The 14,340-nt window shown below is 37.5% G+C and overlaps 1 protein-coding gene across 2 annotated transcripts in view; it reads left to right on the top strand.

Annotated features, from left to right (window-relative positions):
• Positions 1-14,340, top strand: part of LAMA2 (laminin subunit alpha 2) — a 633,429-nt gene that overhangs the window by 518,826 nt on the left and 100,263 nt on the right. For both annotated transcript variants that reach the window (NM_000426.4, NM_001079823.2), the window contains exons 39-40: positions 361-524; positions 1,858-1,996. In NM_000426.4, coding sequence (NP_000417.3) covers positions 361-524; positions 1,858-1,996 — 303 coding nt within the window. The remainder of the gene's footprint in view (positions 1-360; positions 525-1,857; positions 1,997-14,340) is intronic.

Below are 14,340 nucleotides of genomic sequence, written 5' to 3' on the forward strand. Positions count from 1 at the left end.
TTGGGAGGCCGAGGTGGGCAGACTGCCTGAGCTCGGGAGTTCAAAACCAGCCTGGGCAACATGGCGAAACCCCGTCTCTATTAAATATTCAAAAAATTAGCTGGGTGTGGTGGTGGGCACCTGTAATCCCAGCTACTCAGGAGGCTGAGGCAGGAGAATTGCTTGAACCAGGGAGGCAGAGGTTGCAGTGAGCTGAGATCGCACCACTGCATTCCAGCCTGGGTGACAGAGCAAGACTCTGTCTCAAAAAAAAAAAAAAAAAAACTAAACTAAACGTGTAGTTATGTCTCATAGAGAAATTAGTAAAAGAGAGGAGGCTTGAATTCACTTGCTTAAAATGCCCTCTTCTCTACATATCAGTATGTTGAAGACATCCAAACTAAATTGCCACCTATGTCTGAGGAGCTTAATGATAAAATAGATGACCTCTCCCAAGAAATAAAGGACAGGAAGCTTGCTGAGAAGGTGTCCCAGGCTGAGAGCCACGCAGCTCAGTTGAATGACTCATCTGCTGTCCTTGATGGGTATGTCATTTGTTTTTGGAAATGTTTGTGTATTTTGATGCTTGTCCAAAGGTTTTGACTAGCATAAATAGTAGAGAATCATTTTCAAATCCTGATTTCTGTTAATTATGAACACACTAGCTATATGGCCTTTCTGTGGATAGGCTTAATTAGGAGGGTCTGGGCAAAGCTTTGCTACAGCAGCATCAAAAGTCTGATTTACAAGTAGACTCAAATATGGCTTAGTAGGAAGTGAACATAGCCCTAGGCTACACTTAGAAAAAATTATTTTCTGTTCTTTATTAAAAAGCACAGTGGTTGCCTTATTAGCATTTTAAATAACATATATGAAAATACATTCTGTTTCAAATTTCAGTTTCATGTTTCTAATGGAATCAAAACAATTTATTGTTAAAAGGATGGCTTTTGAAAATTTGGCCCCATACGTAGTCTTTAAGTCTTTTTTATTTTTCCTCTTTTAAGCTCCAGGGAGACATTACATTTTCTCCTGTAAAATAGCAGCTTATTCTAGCTGGGATTATTACAAAGGTCATAGGAGGGAGAGTAAAGAGGGAAGTATACATTTGACTTACAAACAGCCTTCTGTGTATAACTGATATGCTTTTCCTACAATTTTGGGATTGTCGTAATTTAATAGCGGTGCTATTAGCCCCAAGAATAATTTGCCCAGATAAATCTACATCACATGCAAAGCTTTGTTCTCATACTTAATACTTACTGTTATAAAGAAAAAATGCTAATGTTTGAAGACCTTGGACAATATATGAACTATCATTTTATTTTATGTCAAACTTTTGCCACTTTATAATGAAGGGTGGGTGGCAGATGAAACACAAAGCTAGGTATCATCAGATCCAGGCTCTAAGTCCTTACTTGGGGACATATTGGTCATTTGGCCTGAAACAGGCCATTTAACCTTCTGAAATTCACTTGGTCTCTTCTGGGAAGTGCACCTACCCCAGAAAGATTTTGTGAAATTAATTCCAGTAATGTAGTACAAGTGCTCTGAATCTCACAGCATGCTTCACAAATAAGGTGAAGAATTGTCTCATATCACACACCTGCTAGAGCACCTGGTTGCAGAGACTTTTGGAGGATGCTATGGGTATTTAAGATATGTTGGTAGTATTTCATAGCTGAATTATTAGAAATATAAGTTTAGGTTATAGAAAACTATAGGACAATATAATAAGTAGATACTTCACTATTATTTGGAATTGTCATAGATATATTGGCCATGATCATTTGGAAGCCAGATTTCATATAATTAGGACGTTCTTCATTTGAGTACCATTGAGTGCCCTGACATTCCTTTTTTGAATCATCCCACCAGAATCCTTGATGAGGCTAAAAACATCTCCTTCAATGCCACTGCAGCCTTCAAAGCTTACAGCAATATTAAGGACTATATTGATGAAGCTGAGAAAGTTGCCAAAGAAGCCAAAGATCTTGCACATGAAGCTACAAAACTGGTAAGAAACAAATGGCACATGTGCTGGGAATGGAAGTCAACCTTTTTGAATTTTTCAAATGTAAGTCAGTCTGGAAAATCCCAGTAAATTGGTATATTTGTTTTGGGTTATTTTTGAAGACCTCTTTTAAAATTTGCCTAAAATAAATTCTCGGTATGCTATAATTATAGCAGAACTCTTTTCTCAGTCACCCACTACCACTGTTAGGGTCTTAAAATTATCTCAGAAACCAAGCAAGTTTGTGCTACCAACTCACAAAATAAAACAGGCAAAGACAACACTCTGGATAGGGAATTTTATCACCATTATCTCAAATGGCATTAGTAAAAAAGAAAAAAAAGTAACCATTGTATATAATCACACACAAATTGGTTACATATGAAGTTTGGCTATAAAATTCACTTTTTAATAAAAACATACTGGATCATATGCTTCTAAACAATTTATACCATGTTTATGAATTAATGAATTTTTATGAATTTTTGAATTAAAAAGCTCTTAACCTTTGGCTACAATCATTGTTCGTAATACATTTGGAACAAGTATTTTAGAGTTTGGGCATTCCAAGTTCTATCACATTATTTGAATGCCTTCAATGGTGACAAATCTTTATGCTTTAGATGTAAAGCAACATTTTGTACATGAGTTGTGTGATAGTAAGTTGGTAGTACTATTTCAGGTTAAAAAAATCTCATAGGAATCATCCTGAATAAAATGTTCAGAACCATCATTTATTTATTTTGTTTCACATAGAACCTACCAAACACATGAGAATTTTTTGGGGGAGAAATCTGATTGGACATTTGACTGTGAGTGAAATACACATAAGCAGTGGTGTTAAAGAAACTGATCAATATTTTCTTTGCTTCAGTGTTGGGCAAAAATACTTTCTAGGATTTAGGGGATATTAGAGATATCCCCTAAATGAACCAGTCTTAGCAGGTTCATTTTGTGATCATAATGAAACATCATATTCTATGAGCAATTTGTACTGTTTTTGGTTTCTCTTGAGTGAGCCCTACTAATGCCATATGTTCTGTTGACTTCTTATTCAAAATAGTGGCATGATCATTGCAGAAGCATTTCTATGTTCAGTTATCCTTTCAGAATGAATCTACTTTTCAAATCTAAACTAAATTTTAATCCATCTTCTGTTAGATAATTTTCTATTTTAAAGACCCTAATTTCAAGTTCACCATTTTCATTTCACCTGTTTTATTGTATGATTATTTTCAGCACCTAAAATGGTGCCTGGCAAATAGTAGGCACTTATAAATGAATGAGTGTATTTTTTCATTATAATTGACACCTTTTATGCCTGTTCATAATCTTTTATACCAATAAAAATTTGCTGTAGTAATTGCTTCATCCTTATAAATTTCTTGTAACATTTTATGATAAGGAGGTGTTTAATTTTACCCTAATTTAATACCTTTAGGAAAAATCATTTTTTGCCAACATGAAGTGTGCACTTACTTCTTACCACCCATGCTTATACATGGTAGGCTAACCAACCTCAAACAGAGAGTGATGGTGAGTTGTAATGCATTACACCATGTCTGCTGTTATCATTATTCCTTCTCTCTTTCCACAATCATTTAAAAATAATTAAATGTCTGAAAAATTACAAAATAAGTGCTATAGAGAATCAGTGATTTATTAAATGACTATTGGATAAGAAAAAGAAGACAATCTGTCCCAGAAATTTTGTTGGAATGTTTTTCATGAACAGAATGAATAAAATTTTAGTTTAATAGATCAGTATAATATAGTTCTACTTTGCTGGAAAAGAAATATATTTGAAAAGCATTACGTTGAGTAATTATCTAGATAGGACTAACATCCCATAAATATAAGATCTGATATAAAAGCTATAGCTCAACAGAGAAGAATGAGATTAAATGTATTATTAAGTATAGAAGAGTTCAAAGCTTAACAATACAGAAGAGTCCTCTACTCCTTTGAGTCTAGCCCTATAAAGAAGGAAGAATGTTTTCAATAACTTAAAAGGAAAAACAAAGAAACAATTTATACATTTGCAGGAGAAAAGGAAAAGGTCAAGTAGTAGAGCAACCAACGACCACTATGAAGAAAGTGGAGGTCAGACAATTTGAGAAGAAAAAAAGCATTGAAAATACCATAAGAAAAGAAACAAAGAAATGATAGAAATAACCTCCAAGCATAATTAAGACAATGTTTAAAATCAACTTTGATTTTTTAAAAATTTACTTGTCTTCCTATATATAAACACACATAGACAATCAAGAATCACACTGAAAGGAAAATATGAGTGAGAAGGAAGTGGATCCTTTATAAGCAGGAGAAAGCTAATACGATTTGTTTGTACTGCAGTATTATTTTGTAAAGAGTAATAGCTACTTGTCTTGCATAACTAATTTCTTTAAATATCAGAATGAAATGTTATTTTAAGAATTTAGACATCATGAAATAACAAATGCTATTTTTCTATTGGTGTCGGGTGAGGAAAGTACTATAAAGCATTTGTTTTCCTACATATAATCACCAAGAAAATATCTCATTTAGTACTTCTCTAGAGGGTGCAAGGAAAACAGAAAGGAGATATGTCACTCATAAAATGGAATAAAAATGGAATATGGACATCAGTAATTTTTTCTCATCTTAGTTGCTTTGATCCTATAAGAGACTCTAAAATAACAGAGAATTAGATGTTTTTAAAACATTTCCAGGTCATAGTAAACTCAAAGCCTACATTATCTATCAGATCAGATTTTTAAAATTGATGAATGTATTAATGTTCTCTAGAAGGACAGAACTAATAGGATAGATGTATACAAGAAGGGGGGTTTACTAAGGAATATTGACCCACGCCATCACAAGATGAAGTCCCACAATAGGCCATCTGCAAGCTGAGGAGCAGGGAAGCCAGCCCGAGTCCCAAAACCTCAAAAGTAGGGAAGCTGACAGTGCAGCCTTCAGTCTGTGGTTAAAGGCCTGACAGCCCCTGGCAAACCCCTGGTGTAAGTCCAGGAATCCAAAAGCTGAAGAACTTGGAGTGTGATGTTCAAGGGCAGGAAGTATCCAGCATGGGTGAAAGATGAAGGCTGGAAGAGTCAGAAGATCTACTCTTTCCACTTTCTTCTGCCTGCTTTTATTCTAGCCACACTGGCAGCTTATTAGATGGTGCCCACCCACATTGAGGGTGGGTCTGCCTCTTCCAGTCCAGTGACTCAAATTTTAATCTCCTTTGGCAACACCCTCACAGAGACACCCAGGAACAATACTTTGCATCGTTCAATCCAATCAAGCTGATACTCAATATTAGTCATCACAAGTCCACCCCTTGTCAACTTGAACCCATACACATCTCCTGAAATCATACATAATCTCCAAATAAAGACAATAATAACATCATAATTATACCTAACATAATACAGCTATCCCTTGTACAATCAGAAGCACACTAATCCTTAACCTAAATGCTATTACATAAAGTTAACAACACTTAAATGCTGATATGAAGTCAATAAATTTTATGTCACATGATAAAGGAAAAAGAAAGCAAATGAAGATATTTTCCTAGTACAAGTGTATACATGCACAAACATATTCTTAACAGAATAAGGAGGAAATATATGACAATTACAGTCTTCATTTCTGCAACTGGCCACGTGGTTGTAGCTGGTATTGATGACTACCTTCTTCTACTAACCATTATGTATTCCCTTTGCCTTCTGCAAGCACCTCAGCGGGTCATGGCTTTTTACCTGGTGGGGTGACCCAAACCTTTATTCTGGAAGGACCTGTGCCATTTGTAGTCCTGTCTGGATTGGGTTGGATTGGGTTGTTGTAGTTTCCCATTGACCTTAAACACAGAGGATGGTAATATTAAGAGATGCCCTATGGGATCTCCTGTATTCCATGCATGCTCTTCCTTGCCTTCATTGTGGAATAGTAGACTGATTTCACCTTGATATTCTGGGTCAATTACCCAGCCAACACTGAAACCCCCTTCTTAGCCTGTTGACTTGGAGGTAGGAGGGCCCCAATTGGCCAGGTGGTAATCTTAACTTCCAGTTTAATGGAATCATTGTTGTATCCCTTGGTGACAGCATTCTTCCCTCTGGAACTAAGATGTCTAGGCCAGCAGAACATAATGTTGTGGGAACAGGAAGCAAAATTTTGCTAGTGGGTCACTAGTGGTGATGGTGAGTGGTGCCACTTCCGCTTCCACCCCTTGATTCTGGGACACGTGAACACTGGCTATGGGAGAAACAGTACCATATTTTGGACACTGATTCAAGGCATACACAGCCTTCTGGAGAACTTTGCCCCAGTCCGGCAAAGTATTGTCACCTAGTTGGCATTGTAATTATGACTTCAAAAGGGCATTCCACAATTCTATCAATCCACCTGCTTCAGGATGATGGGAAACATGATAAGACCAGTGAATTCCATGAGCATGAGCCCAGTGCTGCACTTCTTTAGCTGTAAAGTGAGTGCCTTGTTCAGAGGCAATGCTGTGTGGAATACCATGACAGCGAATAAGGCATTCTGGGAGTTCACGGATGGTACTCTTGGCAGAAACATTGGGCGTAGGATGGGCAAATCCATATCCAGAATAAGTGCCTATTCCATTGAGGACAAACCTCTGCCTTTGCATGATGGAAGAGGTCTGATATAATCAACCTGCCACCAAGAAGCTGGCTGATCACCCTGAGGAAGGATGCCAGACGGAGGGCTCAGTGTTGGTTTCTGCTGCTGGCAAATTGGGCACTCAGCGGTGGCTATAGTCAGGTCAGTCCATGTTGCTGAGCCTATGCATAACCTCCATTCCTGCCACCATGGCCACTTTGTTCATGAGCCCATTGAGCGATGACAGGGTGGCTGGGGAAAGAGGCTGAGTGGTGTACACAGAATGAGTCATCCTATCCACTTGATTATTAAAATCCTCCTCAGCTGAGGTCACCCGTTGGTGAGCACTCACATAGGATACAAATATCTTCACAGTTTTTGACCACTCAGAGAGGTCCATCCACATACCTCTTCCCCAGATTACTTTGCCACCAATTTTTTAATCATGCTTCTTCCAAGTCCCTGACCATCCAGCCAAACCATTGGCTACAGCACATTAATTAGTATATAATTACACATCTGGCCATTTCTTCTTCCAAGCAAGTGCACAACCAGGTGCCCTGCTCAAAATTCTGCCCCCTGGGAAGACTTCCCTTTGCTACTGTCCTTCAGGGATGTCCTAGAAAGGGGCTGTAGTGCTGCAGCTGTCCACTTTTGGGTGCTACCTGCATATCTTGCAGAATCATCTGTGAACCAGGCCCTAGTCTTCTCTGCCTCTGTCAACTGATCATGGGGAACTCCCTGTGAGGCCATCAGTGCAGGCTTGGGGAGAGAAGGCAGGGTGGCAGGAGTGGAGGCCATGGGCGTTTGAGCCACTTCCTCATGCAACTGACTTGTGCCTTTAGGACTGGCTCGAGCCTGATCATGTATATACCACTTACAGTTGATGATGGAAGGCTGCTGTGTATGCCCAACTTTATGGCTAGATGGGTCAGAAAGCATCCAGTTCATGAAAGGCAGTTTAGGTTGCATGGTGACTTGATGACCTACAGTCAAACATTCAGTTTCTACCAAAGCCCAGTAACAGGCCAAGAGTTGTCTCTCAAATGGAGAGTAGTGATCTGCAGAAGATGGCAGGGCCTTGCTCCAAAATCCTAGAGGCTTCCACCTCTAGGAGTCACCTATGGGAGCCTGCCAAAGGCTTCAAACAGGATCCCTGTCTGCCATTGACACCTCAAGGACTATTGGATCTGCTAGGTCATACGGCCCAATCGGCAGAGCAGTTTGCACAGCAGTCTGGACTTGTTGCAGAGCCCACTTAAAATTGGCAGCCTTTCAGGTCACTCAATAAATGGGCCCATTTTAACACACCCAGGAACAATGCTTTGCATCCTTCAATACAATCAAGTTGGCACTCAGTATTAACCATCACAGTGAATGAATAGATTTTCTATGACGTTGACTCCTTGGAATGACCACCAGAGGCAATAAGCACACTCTCAGTGACACGAGGATATGAGGCCCTCCTCTGCCCATTTACACTGGAAATGTCTTAGATGTCTTAGTGCTTTTCAATCAGGTATATCCAAACAACAAACAAACAAATAAAATAAGACTAATGCAGAATGAATTCCATAGTTCAGATTCTTCAAGATAATGGAAAATTATCACATAATCTCCACCTGTTTTGAAACATTATCTTCTTTCCTTCCTTTCCTCCCTTTCTCCCTTTCTCTAAGTCAGTGGAATAGTCTAGTTTAACTTTGATGTAGAAAATTTAGGCAGTCCTCAACCTCTCTAGGTATGCTGAATTAAAAAAAAAAAAGAATGACATTTTTAATTCCCATGGCAAATGGAGTTCTCCTCTTTCTTCTGTTCCTCTTCTTCACCTTGCAATGACTGTCATTTTGTAAAACTTTCTCTCTGTCTCTGTCTCTCTTACTCACACATACACTCACAATGTTCCTTAATATCTTCTAATCCTGAATTTCCTTTCTCAATTTGTTTAGTTAGATCTTCACTAGAAATAAGTATTAGAAATTGGGAAAAGTTTATACTGGTTGTATTAGGGTTCTCCAAATAAACAGAACTATTAGGAGATGGATAGATAGATAGATACATTGATTGATAGATGACAGATAGATGAATGGATGGATAGGTGGATAATAGGCTGGTAGATGATAGATGGATGATAGACAGATTAGATAGATAGATAGATAGATAGATAGATAGATAGATAGATAATAGATTAGATGATAGACAGAAAGAATAAGAGATTTATTATGAAGAATTGGCTTACGTGATTATGGAGGCTGCAAAGTCCCAGTATCTGTGAGCTGCAGATCCATGATATAGTTCACTTTGAGTCCAAAGGCCAGAGAATCACGGGAGCTGATGGTACAAACCACAGTTCAAGAACTAGAGAGAAAATGAGATGAGATGTCCCAGCTCAATCTGTAAGGCAGAAAAGAAGGGAAGGAATTCCTCCTTTCTTTGCTTTTTGTTCTATTCAGCCCTCAAGAGATTGGGTGATGCACAGCAATATTGAGGAGGGCAATCTCTTTTACTGTCATCCAGAAACACCCTCACAGACACACCCGGAAATAATGTTTAATTTAGGTGCCCATGGCCAGTCAAGTTGACACATACAATTTACAATGACACTGGCCTTCAACTCCAGTGCACAATGTGGTCTTCCTCTTTATTCTCCAAATTCAAGTTCTCTTACTTGCTACAGTTGTCCATATTTCTTGGGAACCATCATTCTAAAAAATGTTGACCAGGCCTTTCTTAGGCATTTCTAGGAAAAATAATATAAAATACAGAATAAAGTGAGGGGAGTTCAGATATAATGCATTTCTCATAGAAAAAATGATAGTGGGATGGTTAGTAAAGAACTGTGCTGTGTAAGCAAGATGTAAGCTTTAAACAAAGTGAAGAAAAGGGGAGAAGCCTAGAAAAAATAACATTATACAGAAAGAGAATATTCTTAAATATGTCAACTTCTCTTATAGCAAATTTCCCAGTGTTCATTCCTAATACAAGGAGAGTAAAAACTCCATAGAAACCTCAAAAAGAGCTTTTTCTTGCAATGGGGTTAGGTGTCTAAGGAATAAACAGGACTTTTGAAACTTTACTCTTATGTGACAGATCAGTGAGGAGGAAACACGCTGATAAGAAGCACTGAACTACTACAAATACGCTTCATTTGCTATAAATACACTTCATTCACTGAACTATAATAAAATTCACTTCAAAAGGAATGTGAACAAAATGAAAGAACTTGGATATAAAGGGGCAAAAGTGAACAAAAAGATAGAAAATGTGTACAAATCTAAGTAAGCATTATGGAAAGCATAATGATAATAATTATTAAATATGTGGAATTAAAAACAAAGTGGAACTAAAACACAAGAGACTAATAAAATGGAAAATGGGGCAGGTAGTCAGTTATTTAATAAAAGTTTTTAATATTCTTGAATTCTGGGGAGGAAAGCAAAAAGCTAATTAACTTTAGTTTTCACTAAGAATATGTATTAAACATTGAAAAAAAATCTGGAAAAATAAAATTGACAATATTCGAGTTCTCCAGAGAAACAGAACAAATTGGAAGTGTATATATACACAGATATATTATATATTTTAAAGAATTGACTCATGAGATTGTGGGGTCTGGCTGCAGGGAATAGGTGAATATTGCCGTCTTGAATCCAAAGGCAGTTTGGAGGCAGAATTTCTTCTTCTTCAGGGGACCTCAGTAATTCTTCTTAAGGCCTCTGACTGTTGGATGAGGTTCCCCAACATCATGGAGGGTGACCTGCTTTACTCAAAGTCTACTGACTGAAACGTTAATCACATCTAAAAAATACATTCACAGCAACATCTAGACTGCTGTTTTACCAAAAACCAAGTACCATAGCCTAGCCAAGTGGATATAAATTAACGATCACAAACAGCTAAACATTCCAAACAAGCAGACAGAGAGAGAAAAAAATAAAGAAATGTGAAGGGGAGGAGAATTTTCAATCAATTCTGGAAAAGACAAAAAAAGAGAAAAAGAGAAACAAATCATAAATATAAAATATAATGGAATTAAATCCATATACAACAATCAGGGTAATTATCACCAGCTGCCTCAAGAAATAACCCCTGAAATCTCACATGATGGACATAATTCAAGTTTATGTCTCACATCACAACACAATGTGAGTTATACCACCTTTTGCATCTTGTAGTGACACCATACAGTGTAGCCTCCAAGGCAGGGAAGAGAAAAAATGAAGAGACATGTAGGCCCCTACCATACTGGCTCATGAAGCCTGGACCACGTCTGGTCTGAGTCATTGACCAGAAGTAGCCGTGTGCCCCAAGCTAACTGTAAGGGAGGTCTGGAAAAGTAGGAGGCACATAGGATATTTGATGAGCACTAACTATCTCTGCTTCAGGTTGTCTTCATAATAAATGCAAACATTAAAATTGACAGGTTACTATGATTTTCATATTGGATTAAAATGTCTAAAACAAAGGGATTCGTCTATGTATGACTTACACAAATACTGCAAATCTTAGGGGAACAGAAAGACTGAAAATGAGAGATAAGATACACTATGCAAACTCTAACCAGAAGAAAGCTGGTATGCTACCATTAATAGCAATCAAAAAGACTTTAATTTTTTTAAAAGAATTATTAAGGACAAAGAAAGTGATCATGATAGAATAAAAGGAACAAGGAAAACTAAAAAATTATGAGCCTGCAAGGTCATAATAACAAAGCCTATGGATAAATAAAGATAAATATATCAGAATGAGAACATTTTCATATATATAATAGGGAATGATTTTACCATATCTCTCTTAAAAAGTGATAGATCAAGCAAAGAGACACAGATTTTAAAAGTACCTTACACAAGATAACTTAATGGCCTTATAGAACTCTATGTCAACTAGATAATTAATTCTACATGCCCCATTCGATGAAGTAACTCATGAAACAAACAAAGGACCACAACCTAGATCATAAAGCAAGTATCAGCAAATCCTAATGATCCAATAGCATCTAGACTACATCCTCTTATCATAATGCAATACAATTAGAAATTGGTACAAAACAATTGACAAAAAGTTTTAAAATAAAAAACATACTTCAAAGTAATCCATGGCTTGAGAAAAAAACACAGTTTAAATTTACGAAGTATTTAATAACAGAATGGAAATAAAATTTCACCTCAAAATTTGTGTGTGCAAATAAAGTGGTACCAACAGGAAAATGTACAGTTTGGAATGCAGATATTAGGCAAGGGTAAGAACTGATACTAATTATCTAAGGTTTCTGCTCAAGATGTTTAAAAAAGTACACAGAAAGAAATAAAAATAAAAGCAGAAATTAATGACCTAAGGAAAGGCATTAGACAGGGTTGACAAAACAGCAAGTTGATTCTTAGAATAAACTAGCAAATAAACAGAAGACAAGAACAATTAAGCAAAGAGAGACAACACAAATGAATAGGATCAAGAATGAAAAGGGGATCATAACTGTAGATACATTATAGATTGAAAAATAAAAATGGATATATTGGAGGATATGCGCAATTTTATTCAAACACATTTGAATACTTAGGTGAAGTAAACAGTAAGTTTAGAGCAAAATTTACTCAAAAAGAAATAGTACACCTGAGAACTATAACCGTTAAATAAATTGCATCAGTAGTTAATACAACAAAATAACAATATGTACAAAAATGTAAAGGACCCATTATGCAATTTGTTCCCAAGAATGGAAAAAGAAGAAAAATTTCCTCAGCTTATTTTATGAGGCTGATACAATCTTGATGGCAAGCCCTACAGAGGACAGTACTACAAAGAAAAACTATAGGCCAGTTATTTAAATAGAGAAGCTACAAATGAAATATTATAAAACCCAGTTCAAATGTACATATTTTAAAGATCTGTAAATATACAGTAAAACATTAACATTTGCCAGATACAGATGATGGGAATAGAGGTGTCTGTATTAATTTCTAATCGTATCTATCTTATTTCCTACTTAAATAGTTTAATTAAAATGAACCTCAGAGGAGATAGAAAATCTGTCCTGCAATAAAATCTGTTCTAAAATAATAAAGAAAATAGGTCTAAAATGGGTCTGGAAATGAAACAACAACCCTCATCCTTTACACCAGCAAGAAGTTCTAAATTTCTTTCTTTTTCTAAATTCATGATGCATACATGTTTTAATTTCTTTTAAATGATCAGAGGCTGATAATTGCAAGCAACAATCCCCTAACCTAACTTTTCTCTCAACTAAGCTCACAGCTCCAGGATCAACAATTCCAAATCTTTCAAATATTCTTCTTTTACTACATCTCTTAGTAATATTATTGTGCCATCACGTATTTCATTAAGTGGGGCATTATCTATTTAATTACTGCTATGATGAAGGAGATGTAGTTCACTTACAGAATATCACATCACATTTTCCCACCCTTCAGTTTCCCAATATAGGTACATTACTGTGCTTAGATTCTTCATTTTTAACCTAATATACTGAGAGCATTATTTCCTGTATAAATGATAGACTCTGCACTCTTTAAGATGAAGCTATTTATGTCCTCATTCTTCCCTTTAGCTTCCTTTTTTCCTCGTCCTCTCAGCTTCTACCTCTTTAACTTTGATATTGTGATGGTCAATAACATTTACATTTTATCTATAACCATAATTGTGCCATGGCAGAATACAGAAGTCCCTTCTCTGAAGACATTTTATTCCTTAAAGGACTCCCTTTGATTTTTTTTCAGTGGGCCATTTGATGCTTGATTGCCAGTTGCTCTGTGCAGAAGAGAAGGGGTATTTTATTCCATAAAATAACTTGCAGTGAATTATTCCTTTTTATTTTCACAACTGACTCTCATTCTCTACCTTACCTGTTCTTTCTGAGGCCTGGCCTTCTCCAAATTTTTTCTATCTCCTTGCTGGCATATACCCTATAGTGCAAGTTGTGGGTACAATAACTGCAAAAGATTGAGGAGCAGGAACTATCTAAATAACCATGGTGGCTGGGTGCAGTGACTCATGCCGGTAATCCCAGCACTTTGGGAGGCTGAGGTGGGAAGATTGCTTGAGCCCAGGAGTTTGAGACCAGCCTGGACAACATGGCGAAACCCCATCTCTACTAAAAATACAAAAATTAGCCAGGCATGGTGACACATGCCTGTAATCCAGGCTACTCAGGAGGCTGAGGTGGGAGGATCCCCTGAGCCTGGGAAGTCAAGGCTGCAGTGAGCCAAGATCATGCCACTGCACTCCAGCCTGCGTGACAGAGCAAGACCTTATCTCACAAAAAAGAAAATAAAAGGCCCATGGTGGTGTGGCTAGGAAAGAGTGCCAACCCTGTCCAAAGGGAAGCTTTCTTTGCTGAAATTATACACTTTCTTTCTTTTTTTTTTTTTTTTTTTTTGAGACGGAGTCTCGCTCTGTCGCCCAGGCTGGAGTGCAGTGGCGGGATCTCGGCTCACTGCAAGCTCCGCCTCCCGGGTTCACGCCATTCTCCTGCCTCAGCCTCCCAAGTAGCTGGGACTACAGGCGCCCGCCACTACGCCCGGCTAATTTTTTTGTATTTTTAGTAGAGACGGGGTTTCACCGTTTTAGCCGGGATGGTCTCGATCTCCTGACCTCGTGATCCGCCCGCCCAAAGTGCTGGGATTACAGGCGTGAGCCACCGCGCCCGGCCGAAATTATACACTTTCTTTGATCAACTTCTTTTTACTCCGTCATAGTTTTATTCCCCACCAATC

This window comes from Homo sapiens, chromosome 6 (assembly GCF_000001405.40).
Source record: "Homo sapiens chromosome 6, GRCh38.p14 Primary Assembly".
Lineage (NCBI taxonomy): Eukaryota > Metazoa > Chordata > Mammalia > Primates > Hominidae > Homo > Homo sapiens.